This window comes from Homo sapiens, chromosome 17 (genome assembly GCF_000001405.40).
Source record: "Homo sapiens chromosome 17, GRCh38.p14 Primary Assembly".
Lineage (NCBI taxonomy): Eukaryota > Metazoa > Chordata > Mammalia > Primates > Hominidae > Homo > Homo sapiens.
Window position 1 is genome coordinate 41,717,407 of NC_000017.11, and position 24,956 is coordinate 41,742,362.

At 54.4% G+C, this 24,956-nt stretch overlaps 1 protein-coding gene and 2 pseudogenes across 7 annotated transcripts, besides 3 other annotated features; 1 reads left to right on the top strand and 2 right to left on the bottom strand.

The window, feature by feature from the left end:
- Positions 51 to 345: a silencer, noted in NCBI's record as "tiled region #1334; K562 Repressive non-DNase unmatched - State 22:ReprW". NCBI's record gives its function as "represses a minimal TATA promoter and a strong SV40 promoter by Sharpr-MPRA in K562 cells {active_cell/tissue: K562}" and the evidence as "EXISTENCE:reporter gene assay evidence [ECO:0000049][PMID:27701403]".
- Positions 333 to 17,240, bottom strand: HAP1 (huntingtin associated protein 1). Of its 7 annotated transcripts, none has more exons than NM_001367460.1 (12): positions 16,760 to 17,237; positions 15,313 to 15,392; positions 14,824 to 14,988; positions 14,531 to 14,712; positions 14,232 to 14,337; positions 14,087 to 14,153; positions 10,795 to 10,925; positions 9,892 to 10,026; positions 9,647 to 9,738; positions 8,453 to 8,491; positions 7,360 to 7,748; positions 333 to 620 (listed from the first exon to the last, which is right to left on the bottom strand). In NM_001367460.1, the coding sequence occupies exons 1-12, from the start codon at positions 17,226 to 17,228 to the stop codon at positions 601 to 603; spliced, it is 1,875 nt and encodes a 624-aa protein (NP_001354389.1). In that variant the 5' UTR covers positions 17,229 to 17,237; the 3' UTR covers positions 333 to 600. The 7 variants fall into 7 exon arrangements, with proteins under 7 accessions (NP_001354389.1, NP_001354388.1, NP_001354390.1 ...); NM_001367459.1 differs by lacking the exon at positions 9,892 to 10,026 and adding an exon at positions 10,356 to 10,526; NM_001367461.1 differs by lacking the exon at positions 9,892 to 10,026.
- RNA5SP442 (RNA, 5S ribosomal pseudogene 442) lies at positions 748 to 837 on the top strand (annotated as a pseudogene).
- Positions 7,387 to 7,926: an enhancer, noted in NCBI's record as "H3K27ac-H3K4me1 hESC enhancer chr17:39881045-39881584 (GRCh37/hg19 assembly coordinates)". NCBI's record gives its function as "activates a minimal SCP1, AML or CMV promoter by ChIP-STARR-seq in naive H9 embryonic stem cells {active_cell/tissue: H9 hESC(naive)}" and the evidence as "EXISTENCE:reporter gene assay evidence [ECO:0000049][PMID:30033119]".
- RN7SL399P (RNA, 7SL, cytoplasmic 399, pseudogene) lies at positions 12,721 to 12,999 on the bottom strand (annotated as a pseudogene).
- Positions 16,126 to 16,668: an enhancer, noted in NCBI's record as "H3K4me1 hESC enhancer chr17:39889784-39890326 (GRCh37/hg19 assembly coordinates)". NCBI's record gives its function as "activates a minimal SCP1, AML or CMV promoter by ChIP-STARR-seq in naive H9 embryonic stem cells {active_cell/tissue: H9 hESC(naive)}" and the evidence as "EXISTENCE:reporter gene assay evidence [ECO:0000049][PMID:30033119]".

Consider the following 24,956-nt stretch of genomic DNA (forward strand, 5'->3'; position numbering starts at 1 on the left):
CCCGGGAGGCAGAGGTTGCAGTGAGCCAAGATTGCGCCATGACACTCCAGCCTGGGCAACAGAACAAGACTCTCTTTCAAAGAAAAAAAAAAAAGAAGAAGAAAAGAAAAGTAGTGACTCAGCCAAGAGACATGGGAGGGCCTCAGGCTCTCTCCTGTGCTGTCTTCAAAGCATCTTTCCGGAGGGCTGCACGTCTGTCTCTAGTCACAGAGTCAGGTGCTTTGTGAAACTGTGCCGACAAGCAGAAAGGAGCAAACACAGCTTCTTAATGTTTGTTGCTTTGTCTCACAATAGCAGAATATTTTCTTTAGAACACATTTCACAATCTGTAGTTGTTTTGTTTGCCAGTTTATTGTCTGCCTCTCGGGCAAAACAGGAAACTGGGAGCGTGACAAGTCCCTCCTCCCTTCTGTATCCCCGGTGGCAAGAATAGGAGGAACCCAATAAATATTTGTAAATAATTGCTCATGAGTGGCTGGTGCAGGCATTGCTGGTGTCTCACTCCATTCCATCATTGTTCTTGTGCCTGTTGACACCATTACCTTGAGCTACCCGCCACCTGAGGGCTGTAGAGGAGGGAAAGTGTTTTCTCTACCCATCTTAGGTCCTCGGCTGGGGCTCTGTTATAAAAGACAGATTACAAGAGAAAAGCAAACAAGTTTATTAACATGTGTATCACACATTTAACACACAGAGTACCCAGAGTTGAGTAACTCAGAGAGGTAGCTTAGAATTCAGGCTCACACTGTCTACGGCCATACCACCCTGAACGCGCCCGATCTTGTCTGATCTTGGAAACTAAGCACGGTGGGGCCTGGTTAGTACTCAGATGGGAGAATTCAGGCTCACAGAGCATCTTCAACAAAGAACAATACATTTGTAGGCAAGATAAAGGACAGCAATTTTTAGACTTCCAAGGGTGGCTAACTGTGTGTGGGAAACAGCTTTCTGCCCGTGGGAGCTGAGCCCTGTCCCCTCTCAGGGCTGGGTCTGGTAGCCAGTGGGCCTCCCCCGGCTTCTCCTGCCCCCCTGGGCTGCCATGTGACCCACATCCGGCAGTCACAGCTCTTGTGCCAGCTGCAGAACAAGGGCTGGGGTTCCTACCGCCTGTCCCAGAAGAGGGCTGAGGTCCAGGCCCCCAAGCTCCAGCCTAGGTTAGACTTCCAAGGGTGGCTAACTGTGCATGGGAAAGCAGCTATATGGAAAACGAATGGTAGATAAAGGCTAGTGAGTCAAGTTTGTTATTAGATTGCACTGGTGCCACTCCAGGCTGAAAGGGGTCTAAAGTTGTCTCCGACTTGTTCCAGACATTATGGAAGGAAAACGTCCTACGTAAATGAAATTGTCATTCTGTGTCCTCCCACCACAGCAGCAGATGTGTCCTTCCGTTGAGTGAGGGTAACCTTACGTCCACCAAGGATACTTGGAGAAAGTCTATGAGGAGCAAGCTTCAGTCCCACGGTTTCAGACTATTTATGCTCTGAACACAAGAGTACTGGTTAATTATGTTCTCAGCTCTCCTCGCTGTTCTAAGTGTGCACTTGTTGCAAGTAACTTATATTTTTTTATTTGAATGTATTTTATTTTTTTGAGACAGAGTCTTGCTCTGTCACCCAGGCTGGATTGCAGTAGTGCCATCTCAGCTCACTGCAACCTCCACCTCCCAGGTTCAAGCGATTCTCCTGCCTCAGCCTCTCAAGTAGCTGGGATTATAGGCAGGCACCACCATGCCAGGCTAATTTTTGTACTTTTTAGTAGAGGTGGGGTTTCACCATGTTGTCTAGGCTGGTCCTGAACTCCTGACCCCGTGATCCACCCGCCTCAGCCTCCCAAAGTGCTGGGATTCTCTAGGTGTGAGCCGCTGCACTCAGCCTGAATGTATTTTAAAGCAGTAGATAGAATAACAAAGGAATATGAAAACCATGGATTGAATGGACCATTTTATGTATTCAGAGAGACGAGCCACCATCATTGCCAGAAATACCATGTAAAAATTGGCAATTTGGCCAGCCGCAGTGGCTCACGTCTGTCATCCCAGCACTTTGGGAAGCCAAGGCAGGCGGATCACCTGAGGTCAGGAGTTCGAGACCAGCCTGACCAATACGGTGAAACACTGTCTCTACTAAAAATACAAAAATTAGCTGGGCATGGTGTTATGCATCTGTAATCCCAGCTACTCAGGAGGCTGAGACAGGAGAATTGCTTGAGCCCAGGAGGCAGAGGTTGCAGTGAGCTGAGATCACGCCATTGCACTCCAGCCTGGGAGACAGGGCGAGACTCTGTCTCAAAAAAAAAAAAGGCAATTTGGAGATTGCAGTATTTAGTAAACAAATAAATGATCAACATTGTGCAACCACTACCAAAAAGTGTATTGTAATGCATCAAAAATCAACATTTTATTCACTAATGAGTATCAATAAAATAAGTCCAAATTATGGAAACCAAAAAAATAATAAAAAATAAAGTTGTCTCCAGATATTTAACTTTTTTTTTTTTTTTTTGAGACAGAGTCTCACTCTGTTGCCCAGGCTGGAGTGCAGTGGCACGATCTTGGCTCACTACAAGCTCTGCCTCCCGGGTTCATGCCATTCTCCTGCCTCAGCGTCCCAAGTAGCTGGGATTACAGGCGCCCACCACCACGCCTGGCTAATTTTTTGTATTTTTAGTAGAGGCGGGGTTTCACCGTGTTAGCCAGGATGGTCTCGATCTCCTGACCTCATGATCCACCCACCTTGGCCTCCCAAAGTGCTGGGATTACAGGCATGAGCCACCGCGCCCAGCTTTATTTATTTATTTATTTATTTTTGACACAGAGTTTCGCTGTTGTTGCCCAGGCTGGAGTGCAATGGGGCAATCTCGGCTCACTGCAACCTCCGCCTCCCAGGTGCAAGCAATTCTTTTGCCTCAGCCTCCCAAGTAGCTGGGATTACAGGCATGTGCCACCACACCTGGCTAATTTTGTATTTTCAGTAGAGACAGGGTTTCTCCATGTTGCTCAGGCTGGTCTTGAACTCCTGACCTCAGGTGATCCACCCACCTCGGCCTCCCAAAGTGTTAGGATTACAGGCATGAGCCACCGTGCCCAGCCCAGAGATTTAACTTTTATCCTTCCTGGTAGATGGACACAGTTGAAAATGTATGTCCTGTTTTTATGCAAATAGGAGGGTAGGGAGCTTTTCTTGTATCTGCTTCTTCTCAATTGCCTTCAGCTCAAAATAGTCCTTATGCCAAAGTGGCATATTTGGAGGTAACACATTCTAATTTCCTTCAGGGCCAAGTGCAGGGCAGTTAAATGCCTCCAGAAGCATCTCTCAGACAGTGTCAGATGACAGTTAGAGGATAAATACCCCAGCTCCCCCACCCAAGGGGTGGGATAACTCTGAGATATATTCTTTTTTTTTTTTTTCCTTGAGACGGAGTTTCACTCTTATTGCCCAGGCTGGGGTGTAATGGTGCAATCTCAGCTCACCGCAACCTCCACCTCCTGGATTCAAGCGATTCTCCTGTCTCAGCCTCCCGAGTAGCTGGGATTACAGGCATGTGTGCCACCATGCCCAGTTAATTTTGTATCTTTAGTGGAGACGGGGTTTCTCCATTGGTCAGGCTGGTCTCGAACTCCTGACCTCAGGTGATCCACCTGCCTCGCCCTCCCAATGTGCTGGGATTACAGGTGTGAGCCACCTCACCCAGGCTACTCTGAGATATATTCTACTGTCCCCCAGAGTTCCCAGCAGGACTGAGACCCGGTTAGCCACAGCAATAATCTTCTCAATGATATTCTTTTGGCAGGGGGGCCACAAAGTGTGTTTTATTTTTACTATTCATATAAATAATTTTCTATAATATCCTGGAGCAAACCAGAGAATTTGGCAGTCCCATTTGCGGGTCCCCTCAGAGACCCACAGGCCAGTGGCATCTGTGTGAGGTGCCCAGGTTCACAGAGCAGCTTGTGGCTTGCATCCACCTTGCAGGTTGCTTTTCTTCCACATCACCACTGGGGACTTGAAGATAACAGGGGCAGGGAATCCTCCAGATTTTAGGAAATTTCACTGCTTCTCCTGCTCAGTGGTCTCTGGTCCACAAGGTGTTCTCCTGCATCTCCGTTTCCTTCAAAGCTTTATCAAAGCTGGCAATTTCCCCCATGTCTGGTTTGTCTGTCATTTTCTTTTCTCTTTTTTTGAGACAGGGTCTTACTCTGTCACCCAGGTTGGAGTACAGTGGTGCAACCTCAGCTCACTGCAACCTCAACCTTCCAAGCTCAAGTGATCCTCTCACCTCAGCCTCCCAAGTAGCTGGGATTACAGGGGCTGCCACCATGCCCAGCTAATTTTTTTTGTATTTTTAGTAGAGACGGGGTTTCACCATGTTGACCAGGCTGGTCTCGAACTCCTGACCTCAAGTGATCCACCCACCTCAGCCTCCCAAAGTGCTGGGATTACAGGCATGAGCCACCGCGCCTGGCCTCCCCCAGATATTTTCTTGTGTTTTCAAATGGAGTCTCGCTGTTGTTGCCCAGACTGGAGTGCAGTGGCATGATCTCCGCTCACTGCAACCTCTGCCTCCTGGGTTCAAGTGATCCTCCTGCCTCAGCCTCCCAAGTAGCTGGGATTACAGGCACCCACCACCACGCCCAGCTAATTTTTGTATTTTTAGTGGAGACGGGGTTTCACCATGTTGGCCAGGCTGGTCTCGAACTCCTGACCTCAAATGATCCACCCACCTCGGCCTCCCAAAGTGCTAGGATTACAGGCATGAGCCACTGCACCCAGCCTCCCCCAAATATTTTCTATCTGTGGTTAGTTGACTCCACGGATGCAGAGCCTGAGGATACGGAGGGCGACTATACTTGTTCCTAAACCCTGTTCCAGGTCTGCTCTGGGGACTTCACCCTAAGACAGTGGGTGACTCTCTCCCATCCTATCTTTCACAGCCAGGCCACTGAGTCAGTCTCTGGGGTGAAAGGATCAGGGAAGCATGAGCTCAAATCCCAGCTCCACACTAGCCATGATCTGCTGGTGAGGGCATCACTTAACCTACTCTGGCCTGAGTTTCTCCATCCAACAGACACTTATGACATCACCCACCGCCCTCTAGGAGCTGCTGCTATGATTAAACGGCGTATTTAATAGGAGTCCTCGGCACATACTTCAATATTAGCATCCACCCTTTCTCTACAACTTCGCCCTGCCAAGTGCACACACACACTCCCTAGAGAGACAGCTGGAGGCTGGGCCAGGAGGGTATAGATCCTTTATTTCCTGCACCACACGCACACAGGCTGACAAGCAATAGGAGATTGAGAGGTGCTGTGTGAAGGGGGGCAGGTACCTGCAGGAGGCCTCAGTCCCAGCCCCCAGCTATTGAGGAACAAAGGTGTGGGAAAGGGCAGAACATGGAAGAGGAAGCCAGGGGCAGGGAGGGGGGGATCAAGACAGAGGGGAGAGGGGCTGGGCCACGGATGGGAGCCTGGACACCCCCAGGCCACTGGCAGAAGAGGGAGGGAGGGAGAGGAGACACACCACTGGGCAGAGGGGCCCTCACCCACCCACACACAGAGACACTTGTGGTTACAAACAGTAGGTAGGGACTGAGAAGAAAGGATGAAGAACAGGGAAGACAGCCAGGTCCCTCAAGTCAACAAGAACCAGGGTGGCTACCATTAGCATGGGCATCAAGGGGTGAGGGGCACATTGTTGGGAAGGCGCTCACAACTCCCTGCCGGTGGAAGCTGGGCCCTGTTCCCTGCTCAGGGCTGAGTCTGGTAGCCAGTGGGCCTCTCCCGGGCTTCTCCTGCCCCCTGGGCTGCCATGTGGCCCAGACCTGGCAGCCACAGCTTTTGCACCAGCTGCAGAGCGAGGGCCGGGGTTCCTACCGCCTGTCCCTGAAGACGTTGGAAAAGCCTCCAACATGTGGGAAAGGGCAGAACATGGAAGAGGAAGCCAGGGGCAGGGAGGGGTCCCCAAGCTCCAGCCCAGGTTCATGAACACAGAGGGTGGGCTGGTGACAGACACAGGGTCCCATTTCAGAGGATGGGAAGGAGGGTCTGCGGGTGTGGGGCTTGGCCAGGCAGCAGAAGGAGGGGCCTCAAGCTGTCTGTGGGGCCTCTGCAGGCTGCTGGGGAACAGCAAAGCCTGGAAGAGAAGCAGGTGGATGTGAACTGGGGCATTGATGACCACAGGCCTGGCCTGGGCGGTGGGCAGGGGTCTGATCAACTGTATCAGAAGGACACGGAAAGTCGCCATTGATAATTATGCAGGTTGCCCCCTGCATGCGCCATAAAGGTCATGGTTCAGTTTATAACCTGCACAAGCTTACATGACACGCCTGCTGAAGCCAGTGCTATTCCACCCGGCAGTGACCAAAGGGCCATGAGAATGGGGACAGGCTGGGACGGGTACCAGGACAGCACTAGAGGGGAGGGATGGGCCAGTGAAGGTGCTACAGCACAGGAGTAGAGAGGACGGGCTCAGATCTACCCCGGCTGTGTGGCCCCAAACAAGTGTCCTTAGCTCTCTGAGCCTCACCCTCCTCACCTAACCAATGGGGACACATCACCTGCCACGGAATGAGGCTGATGGGAGCTGATGCACGTGCAATGGCTGCTGTGCATGAGTGTCACAAGGTCATCTTTCATGTCCTGCGGCTCCTTAAAGAGGCAGGGCTCACATGGCCTGCACTCGGAAGGTGCAGCTCCCAGACTTTGGGGTTTCTGGCTGGGGAGAGGAGACCCTGTTCCACCCCACAACCCTGCAGGAGGCCCTAGCCCACCTTCTGACACCCAGGGGACTGTTCCAACTGTGGCCCTTGCTGGTGAAGGCCTTTGTCCCCATAGCCTGGGCAGTCCCAGAAGGCCTCTCTTCCTCCCAGGCCGTGGGAGGGTGGCTGGCCCTGTCCTCCAGCCTGGGTCAGCCCCCGGGCTGCTCCACCATCCCACCCACCGCCCCCCGTGTTTGTTTTGACTGCTGCTGCCACTGCTGCAGAGTTGGAGAGCCTGGGGGATAGAGGAGGCAGGGGTTGGGGGCAGGGGAAGCAAGCGGGCAGAGATGGGAAGCTGAGGCGCAGTGTGGGGGCACAGTCCCAGCCCTAACCCCCAGCCCAGCCCCCAGGAGAAAAGTGGATGGAGATCTGGAATCCTAAGCAAATGCCACATAAATGAGCACTGACACTACGGTTCCCACTGAAGGGGATCAGAGGTGTCTATGCAAATGATATGCAAAGTCCATGCAAATAAGCACAGCAGGTAGAGCCAGGCTGGGGCAGGTGAGCACTCGGGGAGCTTATCCACCCTCTCTTTTCATCGGCACGACGATCTGCAGCTTGTCCGGCTGGCGGCAGGGAGGGCCCCGTGGGGGCACTCACCTTTCTGGAGCATCTTCCACCTCAGCTGCCGCCTGTAATGGGCATCTTGCCAGTTGGCCAGCTGCTGGAGGACATAATTCATGTCCAGGTGTGAAGGGCCCAAGCCGCTGGCCTCCAGGGCTGATGTCACCACGTTCATCCGCGTTGCCTCATCCAGCTCCAGTTCCACCTCCTCCCAGCCCTCGGTCTCCTCTGACACCAGCTCTGCCTCTTCCATCACCCCTTCCTCAGCCGGCACCTTCTTGGCAGCCCCCAGCTCCTCCTGGGGCACGAACTCCTCCGCAGGCGTGAAATCTTCCCCCCGCATGATATCCGCTGCCAGCATCAACCCTTCCTCAGCCTCAAACCCCCGCACCTGCTCTCGATCCTCACTGTAGCGAAAATCATACCTGGGCGGGAGATAGCGACATCTTTTGAGGGGCTGGAAAGTCCAACCCCCCAGGCCCACCCCCACCCGTCTCCACACAGATCCTGATGGTTCCTCCTGGTTCTGTCCCAGCCAGGGGAGAGGGGAGCTAGGTACCAGCTCCAAGGCTTCAAATACCCAGCCCATCCCCCTGGTGGGAGGGAGGAAGAATGGTCACCAACACTGCATAGGCCCCATCTTCTTTTATGTCCCTGACCCTGCACGGAATACACCAACAGGGTTAACACCCACTTCTGCCTCCCTCCTGCATGATTTAACCTTCATAGCCCACCCCACAGCTACTTGCCATAGGAACAAATCCATTCTAGACAGGCTCAGACAGGTCAAATGACTTGCCCAAGGACACACAGTCAGGAAAGGGACCACGCTGGGCCTTAGTCCCAGGTGTTCCCAGCTCCTAAGCCAGTGCCTGTCACCTCTCAGCCCATAGTCAGTTGAAAAGAAAGCTTCAGTCCCCACTCAGAGCTGCCTGGAATCAGACGGCCACCCAGGGGGCAAGATTTGAAGGAAAAGTGGGGCAGCTCCTTCCCAGAACAGTTCTCAGTTCAGCCAGCCGAGATAGCAGGGCCTTCTCCGGAGTTGCAGGGTGGCAGAACCAGAGGCAGGTGGGCTGTCTGGCTGCTGAAAGCTGAGGGCAGGTTGTAGGGGAGCCCCTGGCAGGCTTACCTTAGGCTGGATGTGTCCCCTCTGGGCATCTCATAATTCCTTCAAAGAGAAAAGGACCTTCATTATGAGACAATGGAAGCCGAAACTGCAGTCCCTGGGGCTTGGTCAAGCTGAAGAACCTTAGGTAGTGGCCATGAGCAGTGGCTCACGCCTGTAATCCCAGCACTTTGGGAGGCCGAGGTGGGCAGGTCACCTGAGGTCAGGAGTTCAAGACCAGCCTAGCCAACATGGTAAAACCCCGTCTCTACTAAAACTACAAAAATTAGCTGGGCTTGGCCAGGTGCAGTGGCTCACGCCTATAATCCCAACACTTTGAGAGGCCCAGGCGGGTGGATCACAAGGTCAGGAGTTCAAGACTAGCCTGGCCAACATCTCTACTGGCCCATCTCTACTAAAAATACAAAAATTAGCCGGGCGTGGTGATGGCCACCTGTAGTCCCAGCTACTCAGGAGGCTGAGGTAGGAGAATCGCTTGAACCCAGGAGGCGGAGGTTGCAGTAAGCCGAGATCACGCCAACCTGGACAACAAAACAAGACTCCATCTCAAAAAACAAAAAAAAAATTAGCCAGGCTCGTGCCTGTAGTCCCAACTACTTGGAAGGCTGAGGCAGGAGACTCGCTTGAACCCAGGAGATGGAGGTTGCAGTGAGCCAAGATCTCGCCACTGCACTCCAGTCCAGGTGACAGAGTGAGACTCGTCTCAAAAAAAAAAAAAAACCTCAGGCTGGGCATGATGGCTCACGCCTGTAATCCCAGCACTTTGGGAGGCTGAGGCGGGCAGATCACCTGAGGTCAGGAGCTTGAGACCAGCCTGGCCAACAGGGTGAAACTGTGTCTCTACTAAAAATACAAAAAGTAGCCGGGCGTGATGGCACATGCCTGTAATCCCAGCTACTCGGAAGGCTGAAGCAGGAGAATTGCTTGAACCTGGGAGGCAGAGGTTGCAGTGAGCCAAGATCATACCATTGCACTCCAGCTTGGGTGACAGAGCAAGACTCCATCTCAAAAAAAAAAAAAATACCTCAGGGGGAAGTGATGGGTCCATATTCATAGAGAAGCAATGAGTGGAGGGGCTGATGCAGTGAACGAGGCGGGTATAGGGAAGCGTGGAAGGTCAGAGTGTGAGGGCAAACCCCCTCCCCACTACAGGAAAGGCCATGGCCTATGGGGCAAGGGAGGGCCCCAGCCACGCACCTCTCCATAAAATACACAGGGTCTGAGATCATCCTCCTTAGAGACGTTCTGAGCTCCTCAGCCAGCGTCTCCTGGAAACCAGGAAGAGTCTCCTATGGTGGAGAGAACAGACGTTACCAGAGGACCCCCACAGAACCCCCACCCATAGGCTCAGGCACAGAAGGGAACTGGGATCTCAATCAGCCACCAAGGCTGAGACACAGGCACAGACGTAGGAAAGTGGGCAGCCAGGGGAGGGTCCTCACCAGAGGCACGCTGTATGGGTAATGGGTGGCAGACCCAGTGGACACTGGGGGTTGCTGGCGGAGGGTCTTCACCTCCTCCTGCATCTCAATCAGCATGCCCCCACAATCCATGTACTTCTCCCGCAGGTCCTGCAGCTGGGAACCCACCCACACGCTCTGCTGGGACCCAGGCACACCCAGTCCAGCACTCCTGCCTATCTGCTCTCAGGCTGAGGCCAGAGGCCCAGGTTCTGGACTCCAAGTGTCATGTGGGGGACCCAGGGCAGGTCCCTGCACTCCACACCACTCAGACCTTGATGGAACTGTCACCTGCTGGGCTGTGCCAGGCATGGAGGGGGTGGAAACGGACAAGACTCAGTTCCTGCTAGTCCTCTCCAGAGTCAGGTAGCTGCCAAGGGCCTGGGGTCCCCACTCTGGGCCAGCGGCTCTCCAGGGTGGGGGCAGAAGCCGGCAGCGAGACTCACCTCTTCCTGGAGCTGCATCTGGATTTCCTTCTCCGAAGCCAGCTGCTTCTGCAACTTTTCAGTCTCAGCCCCATACTGGAAGGACCCAAAACCAGTGAACCCCCATCTGAGGCCTACCCACTCAGGGCACCCCCTGCTTCCAGCAAGTCTTCCCAGGCACATCAGTGAGTCCTTGGCAGCCCATGAAATGACAAGTCACACGGAAGGAGGGCAAAGAAGGCAGGGGAGTCACGCAGCCTGGTTCCTAGAAGACTCCAGGACCCTCTCTGGGCCTTGGTCTCCTCAAGATAACAAGGGGTCAAGATAAGGGGCTCTCTGAGGTCTCTGACTCTGACACAGAAAGGGACCTCAGGCCTGGTGGAGCCGAGTGGAGGCAGGAAGAAGGAAGCTAGGGTCCCATGGGGCCACGACAAGAGGGTTCCACACACACCCGACTCACCATCCGGCAGCGCTGCTGCAGCTTCAGCACCTGGGCCTGCAGCCGAGCGACCTCCTGCTGCTGCCGTTCATAGTTTTCCAGCCTGAGCACCAGCACCTCCGACAGCTCAGCCATCTGTTGGCTGGCCTCCGCTGGGGAGGGCAGAGGACAGGTCAGCCCTGGCTCCCCTGGCCTTCAGGGACCAGCTCTGGCCCTCCCAGATGCCTCTGTCTCCCCCACCCTCGGCTGCTGCGCTGTGCCAGTGGGTCCTGCAGGGCTTTGCATTCCTCACTCAGGTCTTCCATTCAAGAAATGTTCATTGACTGATACTGAGCAGGGCACCAGGGTGAGTGGTCAGTAAGACCCAGCCGCCACACTGAGGTAAAGTTGGTGGGGAGACAGACCACAGTCACACATCATACAGGCCATGATGGGCAAATGTCAAGGGTGTACAGGGCAGGGGCATCACAGCTACAGCACCCAACCCGACCTGCAAGGTAAGGAAGGATTCCTGGAAAAAGGAACCACTAAGCTAAGACCACAGGGCAAGTGAAGCTCACCCAGGCAAAGAAGGAAAAACATGGGTCCAAGCTGACTGGAAAGGCCCAGAGGCCATCATAAGACACTGGGACGGGGAGGGCCCAGAACAGTGCACACAGGCCAGACCACAGTAGTGGGCAAGGGGGTGGGGTTTATCCTTTGGCCAATGGAAAGCTATTTGGGAGTTTTAGGCACAGTAATGACGTGGTCAGACTTGGGTTTGTTGGTTTATTTATTTATTTATTTGAGACCGAATCTCTGTCGTCCAGGCAGGAGTGCAATAGTGCAATCTTGGCTCACTGTAACTGCCGCCCGAGTCCAAGCGATTTTCCTGCCTCAGCCTCCCGAGTACTTGGGATTACAGGCATGCGCCACCACGCCCAGTTAATTTTTGTATTTTTAGTAGAGACGGGGTTTCACCATGTTGGCCAGGCTGGTCTCAAACTCCTGACCTCAAGAGATCCACCTGCCTCTGCCTCCCAAAGTGCTGGGATTACAGGGGTGAGCCACTGCACCCGGCTACTTGTTTTTTAAGAAATGAGGTCTTGGGACAGGCACAGTGGCTCATGCCTGTAATCTCAGCGCTTTGGGAGGCTGAGGGGGATGGATCGCTTGAGGTCAGGATTTCAACACCAGCTTGCCCAACATGGTGAAACCCCATCTCTACTAAAAATACCAAAATTAGCTGTGCATGGTGGCGCATGCCTGTAATCCCAGCTACTCGGGAGGCTGAGGCAGGAGAATCGCTTAAACTCGGGAGGTGGAGGTTGCAGTGAGCAAAGACCACACCACTGCACTCCAGCCTGGGTTACAGAGGGAGCCTCCTTCTCAAAAAAAAAAAAAAAAAAAAAAAAAAAAAAGGAAATGCGGTCTTGGCCGGGCGTGGTGGCTCACACCTGTAATCCTAGCACTGCGGGAGGCCAAGGCGGGAGGATCACTTGAGGTCAGGAATTCAAGACCAACCTGGCCAACATGGTGAAACCCCATCTCTACTAAAAATACAAAAATTAGCTGGGCACGGTAGCACAGGCCTGTAATCCCAGCTACTCAGGAGGCTGAGGCAGGAGAATCACTTGAACCTGGGAGGCGGAGGTTGCAGTGAGCTGAGATCATGACATTGCTCTAGCTGGGCGACAGTGAGACTCCGTCAAAAAAAAAAAAAAAAAAAAATTTGCCAGGCGTGATGGCACACACCAGTAGTCCCAGCTACTCAGGAAGCTGAGGCAGGAGAATCACTTGAACCCAGGAGGCAGGGGTTGCAGTGAGCCAAGACTGCAACACTGTACTCCATCTCAAAAAAAAAAAGAAAGAAAGAGAGAGAGAGAGAGAGAGAGAAGGAAGAAAAGAAAGAAAAGAAAGAAAAGAAAAGAAAAGAAAAGAAAAGAAAAGAAAAGAAAGAAAGAAAGAAAAAATGAGGTCTTGCCAGGTTCCCAGGCTGGGGCTGGAGTACAGTGGCTATTCATAGGTGCGATCCTATTACTGATCAGCATGGGAGTTTTGACCTGCTCTGTTTCTGACCTGAGCCAGTTCACCCCTCCTCAGGCAACCCAGTGGTACTCCACTCCCTGGACCATACTGACCCTGTCGGCATAGTGTACTACAGCCCAGAATTCACAGGCTCAAGCAATCCTCCCACCTCAGCCTCCTGAGTAGCTGGGACCACAGGTGGGAGCCCCTGCACCTGGCCAGGTTTGGTTTTAGAAAACTCATTAAGGCTGTGTGCAGAAGTTCCTGGTAGGGCGCGAGTAGAGGCAGTGCGACCAGTTAAGAGGTATCTTGGGCTAGAGGCAGCCCGAGTGGGGAGGGGGAAAAAGACTTAAGCCATTCCTAGGAGGTAAAAGCAACAGAGCTTGGGGACTGGTTCCTACTCCAGTAGCCTGGGGACCAGTGGGGCCATTCAGGGAGTTGCAGAACCCAGCAGGAAGGAAGGTCAGTTCTGGGGTAAAGGGAACAGCAGGAGTTCAGCTGTTGCCACTTTGCGTTTGCATCTCACCAGCTACACTTGAACTCCTCAGGCACAAACACTGCTCCTCACTCATCTTCATAAACACACAGTGCCTAGGACGATGCCAGGCACAGCCACTGCCCCGTGCATGACTCTGAACTGTCCCAGCCCTGGGTGCCTGGTCTCTGGCAGCTCATGGCTCCCTCTTGCCTGCCCCAAATAAGAGAAGACAGGCTTGGAGGAGACCCACCTTTTTTTTTTTTTGAGATGGAGTCTTGCTCTGTCGCCCAGGCTGGGGTGCAGTGGCGTGATCTAGGCTCACTGCAAACTCTGTCTCCCAGGTTCAAGCAATTCTCCCACCTCAGCCTCCCAAGGAGCTGGGACTACAGGCTTGTGCCACTGCATCTGGCTAATTTTTGTATTTTTAGTAGAGATAGGGTTTCTCTAAGTTGGTTAGGCTGGTCTCAAACTCCTGACCTCAGGTGATCCGCCGGCCTCAGCCTCCCAAACTGTTGGGATTACAGGCATGAGCCACCGTGCCTGGCCTGAGACCCACAATTTCTGTATAGCTCTTTATAGTTTGCACAAAGTACTTCCTCAGCTGTTGACACTCTTAATCTTCATAAACCCTGGAGAGATCAGTGGGGCTGAGAAAATTAATCCCCATTCTAAAGACAAAGGTTCAGAGAGGTCAAGGAATGTATCCAAGTTCACACAGCTAGGAGTGCCAGATCTGGGACTTGAACTTGGATCTCCATACTCCACATCTTGAGTTCTTTTCTCTGCTCCTTGGGACAACCCCCCACCCCGAGTGACAACATTACGTACAAAACTGCTCCACACACTCCAGAATGAGCATCTGTTCCTCATCCTCAAGAGTGTCGAGTTGAGAGGCCTGGAGGGAGACAAAGAGGAAGGGACAGGGAAGTCAACACCCCCTGCTAGCAGGGACGCCCTCCTCCCCCATTCTCACCTCTTCTCTCAGCTGATGATTCTCCTCCTCCAGCAGCCTCAGCTTCTCCTGCAAGGCTTCCAGCTGTGGGCAGTGGTGCTGGTGCAGCAATGCCTCCTGCGAAATCCTAGGGGAGGGAGGAATGGGAGTCAGGGTGCAGGGAGTGGGGCTTCCCAGTTCCCAGCCCACCAGGGCTAAGGGCAGTGTTCTCAATTAGTTCCAGCAACCCTGCCAGCAAGCACATCACCTGTGTCCCTCTTAACAAATGAGGAAATTGAGGCTCAGAGAAAGGACTTGCAGGTGCAAAGGCAGGAACTCACAGCTTAGGGGCATCACAGGGATGAGCACACTGCAGGTCTTCCTCTGCTTCTTCTTCTTCCTGTTCCTCTTCTGCCTCCTTTTCTTCCTCCTCCTCTTCTTCATCCTCATCCTCCTCATCAGAATCTGAGTAGAGCTGGAGGAGCTCATCCCGCAAGTTCACCTGGTGTCTGAGGTATAAAATCTGGCAGGAAGAGAGAGGAGCCATGGGTTGGGAGTGGGCAGGGACAGGAGAGGGTCCTGGCATGAGGCAGGTGTAGATTGGCCCGCTATCCTCTCCTCCCCACCCGGTTACCTCCTCCTTGGCTGAGCCCAGCAGGGCTTCCAGCTTGCTGTTCTCCTCCATCAAAACACTGTTCTGTTTCACCAGGGACTGGCCGATGCGAGCTGCAGTGTTCAGGTCCCTCTCTCTCTGCAGGACCATCCCATAGGTAACGCTCTCCCAGACAGGTGGGAGAAGCTGGGGGGGACACAGGGGTCAGAGAGAGGCTAGGCCCCTAAGAGAACCTTCCCCATCCCCTAGTTCTCTAGGGTACCAGACCAGAGTCTGCCATTAACCCACTGTGGAACCTGGCTCAGTTTCCCCTCATGGAAAAAGAAGATCAGACCAGATTGGCTCTGAGAGCTCTTCCAGCCTGAACATCCCACATCGACCTGTCTTCCATAAGAAGGACCCTAACCTGGGGCCCCAGAGAGACTGCCAATCAGGAAATAAACAAGACCCCCACCCCTACAGGACAAAACTAGAATAAGGGCTTGCCTGGATCAGGAAGGCAGTACACACCTCCTCCAGCAAATATAACATCACTTTGACGTCTTCCTGGGTGATCTTTTTGACTGGCGGAGGTAGGTTAGGACACAGTGCTGCAGGAGGCGGCAGGTGGGGAGAAAAGGCCCAGCCAGGTCAGGAAAAAGGAGCAGATGCTACCAGCAAACAGCTGTTTCCCGTCCTATCGTCAGTTCTCCAACAAGGGTCATCGGGAGAGAAGACTGGGCTCCCCTCCTGCCCCCCACATCCTCCCCTTACCCCTCGGCACTCAACACTCCCTTCCCTGCTCCCAGGGCCAAGTGGACAGGGTTTTTAGGTTTTTGGGTTTTTTTTGGTTTTTTTTTTTTTTGGTTTTTTTTTTTTTTTAGACAAAGCCTTGCTCTTGTCCTCCAGGCTGGAGTGCGATGGCGAGATCTCAGCTCACTGCAACGTCTGCCTCCCAGATTCAAGCAATTCTCCTGCCTCAACCTCCCGAGTAGCTGGGGTTATACACGCCCGCCACCACGCCCAGCTTATTTTTGTATTTTTAGTAGAGACGGGGTTTCACCATGTTGGCCAGGCTGGTCTCGAACTCCTGACCTAGTGATCCGCCCGCCTCGGCCTGCCAAAGTGCTGGCTGGGATTACAGGCGTCAGCCACCGCGCCCGGCTTTTTTTTTTTTTTTTTTTTTTTTACCCCTGGAGGAGCCTGAGGTAAGGGGGTCACAGTCCTCCAGGCTCAGAAACTGGGCTCTCCGGACACCTGGGTCCCTGGCGCCTAGAATGGAGACAGCCAGGGGAAGTACAGCCTCAGACTGGCTCATCACCCCCTACCCAGGAGGCAGTGCAATGGAGTCTCCTGGGTCATACAAACAGACGCAGCCACTCACCCTGCACCTGTTGCGTGTGCAGAGGACAGGAGGAAGACTTCACCAGATTAGGAGACACTCGAGCCTCTAGGCCCAATCCAGAGATCTCCCCCGACCCGCAGGAGGATAGGAGAGACAAGGGGCAGGAAAAGAGCGCGACTTTGCCCCCATACCCGCAACCAAAAAGTGGGCAAAACTTCCCCCTCCGCCCGCCCACCCACCCCTCCATCGCACGCAAGCCCGGTCGGCCAGCGCAGACTCAGAGCGCGCGGGACAGCGCCCTCCCGCAGCCCCCCGCCCCTCTCCTGGCACTGCGGTAGACCCAGGAGAGGGGCGCTGAAGGGGTGCAGATCTGCCGCAGCAAGAGGCGCGTGGAGGTGGGTGGGCGAGCGTGCAGGCCCCAGAACCTGACTCACGGGCACAAACCAGGGGACAAGAGCAGAGGAGGAGATGGAGAAGGGGCGACCAGACAGACACCGCAGTGACATCGCGGGGGTGGTGGACGGGTGACACTGAGTGCTAGAGGGGGCGGGGTGCCTGGACCCGATGGGGCCACTTCCTCCCTGGAGTTGCCCCAGTCCCCACCCGGTCCAGGACCCCGGGGGCCCGATTTACCTTCCTCCAGCTCCCGAATAAAGGCGGCGCGCTCAGGGCCGGACACCCCGGGTCGCCGGCCAACGTAGGCGGCTGGCGTCTTCCAGATGCCCGCTGCCTTTCCAGTCCCCCGGCCAGTGGCCCGGGAACCAAACGGCCCTTGGAATACGAAGCGGGTCCACGGCGCGTCCGAATTGTCGGGCATAGACCGGACATCCCCTTGGATGGCCGAGAATGCGGACGGGCGCCGGGCTCCTGCCTTGGCTCCAGCCTCCGAGGCCGGGCGAGCTCCGGTGCGGGCTTCCGAGAGGAACTGGGATCCAGAGGTGGCTCGGGATCCTACTCTCTGTCCAGTGCCCCGTGCCTGCGGCTGCGCAGAGGGCTCCGGAGCGGGACTGGCTGAGGGCGAAGGTGCACAGGTGAGTGCTGCTGGGTCCCCGGGTCCGAGCCGGCTCCCCGCGCAGCACCGGCCCAACCTCTTCGGGCGCATCTCGAGTCTGCCGTCCGCTGCTGCGGCGGGACCTTTATAACCTGCGCCAGCCGCCGGGCCGGACCACGCGTAGGGGTGGGGGCTGCCGAGAAGCAACTAGTGGCAAGCGGGACTCAGAGCCGCGCGGGAGGGGAGCTAGTGGTGACGGAACAGAGCACAGTAAGAAAAGCAGGGCAAGAAGGGCGAGTGCAAGTTCCGGATGGCTCCGAGTTGGGATGGGAGCGAAAGATTTTTTCTGCCCTCTCCATCTCCGGAGAATGGTTCTGCCCAAAGCCGCGGCTGCCCCAGCACTCGCGGGTCCCTGGCTGGGGGCAGCCCCTCCCCAGCTGCCGCGCCGGGGTTTCGGGTGCCTTCCCTGGTGTAGAAGCTGCCAACCCAACGTTGTGCATACGGTCTGGGGTGGCCAGTGCATTAGGGCAGCGCTGCGTCTTTCCCGGTTGACTGGGAGAGACATTCCAAACTCCAGTGCGCTTCCAACGTGCTGCAACCCTGCCTGGCGCTGCAACCCTGCCTGGCGCTGCAACCCTGCCTGGCGCTGCAACCCTGCCTGGCGCTGCAACCCTGACCCTCGCGCTCACACCCCAGTGCTCGCGCCACTCGACGTCTTCCATTTGATTGGATTAACTGTTCTTCACCTCCAACCCTAGTTCGCTTTGCCCTCCTCTTGCCATGCTGGCGAACCCCTGTTCTCCTTGGGAGACGCCTCTTAAAAGTCTCCCTGTAGCCGGGCGCAGTGGCTCACGCCTGTAATCCCAGCACTTTGGGAGGCCGGGGCAGGCGAATCACCTGAGGTCAGGAGTTCCAGACAAGCCTGGCCACCTGGTGAAACCCTGTCTCTACTAAAAATACAAAAATTAGCCAAGCATGGTGGCGTGTGCCTGTAGTCCCAGCTACTCAAGAGGCTGAGGCAGGAGAATTGCTTGAACCTGGAAGGTAGAGGTTGCAGTGAACCGAAATTGTGCCAATGCACTCCAGCTGGGGCTACAGAGCGAGCCTACCCCTCAAAATAAATAAATAAATAGAATACTTTTTTTTTAAGTATCCTACTGGAAATGTTGGGTAGACAATTAGATGTATAAATCTGAATGTAGGGGAGAGACCGGGCTGGAGATTTAAATGTAGGAGTCATTGTTCTTTGATGACCATTTAAAGCTATGAGACTGGTGAGATCCCCAAGAGACTGAGAGAAGACAGGTAAGAGCGCCCAGGACTAACCCCCTAGGATTCAGAGGGCAGAAAGAAGAAGAGGAGGCATCAAAGGAAGACTGGGATGAGTGGGGCAGTGAAGTAGAGGAAAACCAGGAAAGTTGGGTCCTAGAAAGTAAAGAAAATGTTTCATGTAGAGAGTGGCCACCTGTGTTGGGTGGTGCTGTTGGGCCAGGCAAAGACTGAGGACAGAGACTCAGCTTGGCAAACTGGGGTCATGGGCAACCTTGGTGAGCTGGGGTCATGGCCTCGGCAAGAGCGGTCTTGCGGGGCCAGGCACAGTGGCTCACACCTGTAATCCTAGCACTCTGGGAAGCCAAGGCAGGTGGATCACCTGAGGTCAGGAGTTTGAGACCAACCCAGCCAACATAGTGAAACCCCATCTCTACTAAAATACAAAAATTAGCTCGGTGTGGTGGAACAAGCCTGTAAGCCCAGCTACTTGGAAGGCTGAGGCAGGGGAATTGCTTGAACCCAGGAGGCAGAAGTTTCAGTGAGCCGAGATTGCACCACTGCACTCCAGCCTGGGCAACAGAGCAAGACTTGTCTCAAAAAAAAAAAAAAAAAAAAAAAGAGCGGTCTTGGTAGAGGGGGTGAGAGAGACCAAAGAGGAGTGAGGAAATAACGAGAGGTAACAAAATGAAAACAGAAAGAAGGCTAGGCGCTGTGGCTCACACCTATAATCCCAGCACTTTGGGAGGCTTAGGAGGGTGAATTGCTTGAGCCCAGGAATTTGAGGCCAACCTGGGCAACATGGCAAAACCCTTTCGCTACAAAAAAATACAAGAATTGGCCGGGCGCAGTGACTCACACCTGTAATCCCAGCACTTTGGGAAGCCTAGGCGGGTGGATCGCCTGAGGTCAGGATTTTGATACCAGCCTGGCCAACATAGTGAAACCCCGTCTCTACTAAAAATACAAAAAATTAGTTGAGCATGGTGACGGGTGCCTGTAATCCCAGGTACTCAGGAGAATCGCTTGAACCCGGGAGGCGGAGGTTGCAGTGAGCCGAGATTGCGCCATTGCACTCCAACCTGGGCAACAAGAGCGAAACTCCGTCTCAAAAAAAAAAACATAGCTGGGCATGGTGGTGCATACCTGTACTACTTCAGGGGCTGAGGTGGGAGGATCACCTGAGCACAGGTCGAGGCTGCACTCCAGCCTGGGTGACAGAGCAAGACCCTGTCGGAAGGAAGGAAGGAAGGCGGGAGGGAGGGAGGGAGGGAGGAAGGAAGGAAGGAAGGAAGGAAGGAAGGAAGGAAGGAAGGAAGGGAGACAGTATAGAAAACTGTATTGAAGAAATCTGCAACAAAGGAGAGCTGGAAAAGGGCACAGGAGCTGAAGGAGGACATGAGTGCTGGGGAGTGTGTTTTGAAGATGGGAGAGAGGACAATATGTTTACATGCTGATGGAAATGTTCCCTCAGGGAGGAGAAAACAGGTGCAGAAAAGAGAGCTTATCTCCCAGAATACTTCTGGAAATGGAGGAACTTTCATAACATAACCGTTCTCCTCCTTGTTCAAAGTCTGCATGTTTTATTTTCTTTCTTTCTTTCTTTCTTTTTTTTTTCTTTTTTTGAGACGGAGTTTCGCTCTTGTTGCCCCAGGCTGGAGTGCAATGGCACGATCTCGGCTCACCACATCCTCCACCTCCCGTGTTCAAGCAATTCTCCTGCCTCTGCCTCAGCCTCCCCAATAACATGCGTCACCACATCCGGCTACTTTTGTCTTTTTAGTAGAGACGGGGTTTCTCCATGTTGGTTAGGCTGGTCTCGAACTCCCGACCTCACGTGATCCGCCTCCCCCTTGGTCTCCCAAAGTGCTGGGATTACAGGCGTGAGCCACTGTGCCCAGCCCAAAGTCTGCATGTTTCCTATGGTTTCTTTGTCAGCAGAAAGCTTGAAGGAGACACACAACCCCAGGGTTTGCTACGACAGTGAGGTTGAAGAACATAAGGAGGTGGCTGTTCGGGCATCGGCACAGCCCAGGCTTCCGTGAGGCTACAGCTCCATAGGCTCTGCCGAGTGGTCCTCCCACAGCCCAGCTTCCTGGACTGTCTCTCTGTGCCTTGGACATCTCTGCAGCCCCAACCACCAAGCACAGAACAGGGCATACAGAAGAAGCCTATTACACTCCTGCTGAATTAAATTGTTTCTGGCCCCATGAGGAAGAAGCCCTGGGAAACCCCTGGAGAGTTTGACGGGGAAGAAGGCAGAGGCAGTGGGATGGAGAAGACAGAGATGAAGTTAGGAGACCCTGAAAGCTCCCCCAGCTGACCACACCCTCTAGGTCAGCGCACTGGCAGCCAGCAACTCTGGCTACGGCCACCAGAGGGCAGTGTCAGCCCGTATACCTCCCCACGTGGCTTCCTCACCTACAGGCTCAGTCGCCCCACAGAAAGTGGAGTAGGGACAGAGACTCCATTTTACAAATGGAGAAACCAGGGCTCAGGGCCCGTCATTCTGGAAGTAAGCATTTTGGCCTGGCTGACAGATATCTGCCTTTCGACAGCCTAGGGCTGTCCAGGAGACTGGGGGTAGTCTCTGATCCAGGCCTCTCAAGTGGTTTTCCTCTGTCAACCACCCCCTCCCTCTCCTGCTTCTCATCTAGGGGGAGAAATCAGACACAGCAAAGACCCTTGGCCTCCTGTCCTCCCTCCCAGTGTGCATCCATGGACCCTCCTGGATCCGAAAGAGGATGGGAGGGTGCAGAAGACTTGCCAGGCTGCAAAGCCAGACCACCCACCACCTAATTGTGCACACCCCCTGAACCTGGGGCACATTCACTCCAGTGCCCAGCCCTGGGCAGCACACAGGTGGCTCAGGCCCCTCCTCCTGCCCCCTCCCCTGGCCTGACCCTGGGAAAAAAAACACCTGGAACAGGGTAGGTAATAGAAAGAGCCCCTAAGGGTCGGTGCCAGGGACCTGGGGGGGACAGGCACCGGGGTTACTTTCTGCAGGGGAGCAGGGTGGAGGGGCACCCTGAACTAGGAACAGGGGAGACCTCCTCACCCCCGCCGCAGTCCTGCTGTCTCCTGCAGGCCTTTCGGGGGCCCTCCCCCATCTCTGATCCAGGCCTTCCCCTCCAGAACCAGGCAGTGGCCGCCATAGCCCTCACCCCCACCCCAGAACCCAGGTACAGTCCCTCCTTACATCAGCAGAGAATGGGGGACTTGAGGGCCTAGGCCCTCAGAGGTTCCCCTTTAACTTTTCTTTTTGTTTTTTTGAGAGGGAGTCTCACTCTGTCGCCCAGGCTGGAGATCAGTGGCATGATCTCAGCTCACTGCAGCCTCCGCCTCCTGGGTTCAAGCAATTCTCCTGCCTTAGCCTCCCGAGTAGCTGGGACTACAGGCACATGCCACCATACCCATCTAATTTTTGTATTTTTAGTAGAGACGGGGTTTCACCATTTTGCCCAGGTTGGTCTTGAACTCCGGACCTCAAGTGATCCATCTAGCCTCGGCCTCCCAAAGTGCTGGGATTATAGGCATGAGCCACCACACCTGGCTCCCTTTAACTTTTCTCCTCTTCTTAAAGAGCCCAGCCCAACTCCTGGGCCACTGAGCCCCTCTGGCCTGGAACAAGGAGGTAACGAGGTGCTGGGGGCAGCTGGGGGTCTGAGCCCTCTGCCTGCTGTCTTCCATGGCCCCGCTGCTGGCCAGGACCGAAAGGGAGAGAGGCAAGGAGAGAAAGGACAGAGAGCAAGTGCCGGGGACGAGGGCAAGGGGCTGAGGTGGCTGGGACCTCAGGTGGAGAGTACTGACCCCCACTCTGAAGTTCTTCCCCACCTGGGGGCTCCTATCCTGGAGGAAGGCCCCGCCTCCCACACAGGCTCACTCCTGCTCTTGGTTCTGATGTCTGACTCCTCCTCTGAGAAGCCCTCCCTGGTGGGGCTCACCTGTGTTAGGTATCCTGTGCCAGATCAGGCCTCTCTGTGTCCTCCCCTCCCCTGGCATTCTCTCCCGACTCTGTCCGCTCACAGGGTAAGATGATGTCATTGACAAGATGATCTATTTAGTAACAATGAGAGCAGTATCTGTTTTGCTCACTTTTGTATTCTCAGGACTCTAATGAGGCATCCAATAAATATTTGTTGAATGAACACATCAGTGGATTCTCTGGGTATGGATGGTGGGAGTGGTAATCGCCCTGGGGAAGTGACTTCCGGTAAGGGTGAGATCCTAGGACTCTGGACTCCCAAACCAGGGCTCCACATCCCCTGGCACAGGTGAGCGCCACCAGGAACCCTCCAGGGGCACCTGTGGGAGAGGATGGAGACCGGCCAGGATGTGAGCCACAGATCCCCAGGGAGTGAGCCTTGGCACAGCCAGGTGCCCACTTCTTCCCTAGAGCCCTCAGCCCAGCCCCGCTCCTTTCCCCAGGGACCAGAGCAGGAGGCCTGGGCTGGCCTGATATGGAGCTGGGTCCAGCAGGTCGGCAGTGCCCTGACCTGGGAAGCTCCACGGGAAGCAGCTGGGAGTGGGGGGACCACAGCACCCTCTGTGAGGAGGGCAGGACCGTCAGCTGCGTCCAGCCTGCTGGACAGGCAATACCAGGTGGTGGCGAGCCTAGAAGGATGTTCTGGCCCTTTGGCCTCCCTGAGCTACCTCCAGGCTCAGGGATAACACCAAGGAGCCCTTCGCTCCCTGACCTCTGTCCCCAGAGTCAGCAATTCCCTCTCATCCCTGCGTCCATGTCCAGGCTCTGAGCCCTTCCAGGGACAATTTGTGGGATTGGGGATAGAGACAGAGGAATAAATACACATTCACTGAGACCTGACTAGGTGCCGTATGGATTTTGGATATATTTCATTTTATCATCACTGGAAGGAAAAAAATACTGCTGTGTTATAGATGAAAAACAGAAGCCCAGAGAGGTCAAGCAACTTATCCAAGGCCACACAGCCAGGAAGTATCAGGGAGGGAAGATCACAAAGGCTTGTCTTACCAACAGCCCATGTGCTGTCCACGGCCTCCCAGTTCAGAGAAGAAGCTGGGCGACCCTCCCTCTCCCGTACCCAGGGGTGCCTGTGCTCACTGGGTTTGCTTCCACATAATACTACTTATGAGCCAACTGTTAGGTCTTATAAATTAGATGCCCACCGTGGGCATCTGCCCCATGGCCTCTGGAGGAATCCTGCCAGAGGATGGAGATAAAGGAAGGACAAATACCAAGTGCCTTTTGCAGACGCTATGTCCGCTCTTCCTTCTTCAAGCCTCAGCTCAGACGCCACCCAGTCTTGGGAGCCTCCCCTGATCTAACCTGGCTGGATCTGGGTCCCTGCCTCCCAGATCCAATGTGCTTCCCTCTACCTCAGCCTTCCACACACTGGGGCAAAAGCAAGAAGGGCTTCTGTGCCCAGCTTTTAGTATCTGAGCCTGCCTTGGCCCATGCTTGATGGGCTCAGAGGGAAACACTTGTACTCTGACATAAATCCGAAATAACAGAATCATCCTGACTGGTTCCAGTCTTCAAAATAAGAAAGACTGAGTTTTCACCATAAACCTGGACTCCTGGCCGGGCGCGGTGGCTCACACCTGTAATCCAGCACTTTGGGAGGCCAAGGCAGGCAGATTGCTTGAGCCCAGGCGTTTGAGACCGGCCTAGGCAACATGGTGAAACCCTGTCTCTACAAAAATACATAAATTAGATGGACATGATTGTGCACGCCTGTAGTCCCAGCTACTTGCGGGGGCTGAGGCAGGAGGATTGCTTGAGCCCAGGAGGTCAAGGCTGCAGTTAGCCGTCTTCCCGCCACTGCACTCCAGCCTGGATGACAGAGCAAGACCTTGTCATAAATAAATAAACAAAGAAACAAACAAATAAATCTGAACTCCCTAACAAAAAATAAGCCTATTCCTAAAGCTAAGTCATGACCTTTGTGATAAGGTAGTGAAATCGTTGTGGTTCCCATGGCAGAACGGATAATGTCAGGCTTTCCTTTACATCCTTGCCGTGTTTTGTATCTGCCCCGCCAGGCCTTCTGAAAAGGAACCCCCTTTACTCCTCATAAGTAAACGTTCCTCTCCTCTATGTGTCTGTCTCTTTCTTTGACCTGGGCTATAAACACTGATTTCTCACCTGTGGGCCCCACTCAAGGCAGGGGTTGGCAGTCTTCATCTGTGCATTCCAGAGCCTGGTGCAGGCTAGCAAGCTTGAGCGCTCGATAAATACTTACCGGATAACTTAGCAAACTAGGAGAGCAGGCAACACCCTGACCCCAGGCGCTTCCTCAAGGCCCAGCTCTCCCCAAACCCTCCTCCAGGAAGCCCAGAGCATCCTTCACCTTCTCCAACCACATCACGCCCATTGGGCTACAGGAGGGCCTTGGGCTGCCTCGCAGGTGGTCATTGACACTCTCCCGTGTGTAGAGGTCTCAGCTTGACCAAAAGCTACAGCATCAAGAACACAGACAGCTCCTCACATGCTTGTGGTCACCCCACCTGGGCACCTCATACCTAGCAGGGGCTCCAGCAACGTGCGCTGATTCCTTAGTCTGGAGGGCAGGCTGTCATGGTGTAGGT

What these genes read in the sequence shown, in the direction of transcription:
- HAP1 (NM_001367459.1), bottom strand. Translation starts at nt 17,228, where the DNA reads ATGCGCCCGAAGAGGTTGGGCCGGTGCTGCGCGGGGAGCCGGCTCGGA. An exon ending in ATCATCAGCTGAGAGAAGAG is followed by an intron (nt 14,154 to 14,231) that starts GTGAGAATGGGG and finishes GTCTCCCTCCAG; the next exon opens with GCCTCTCAACTCGACACTCT. An exon ending in TGCAGCAGCGCTGCCGGATG is followed by an intron (nt 10,527 to 10,794) that starts GTGAGTCGGGTG and finishes TGGGCTGCCAAG; the next exon opens with GACTCACTGATGTGCCTGGG.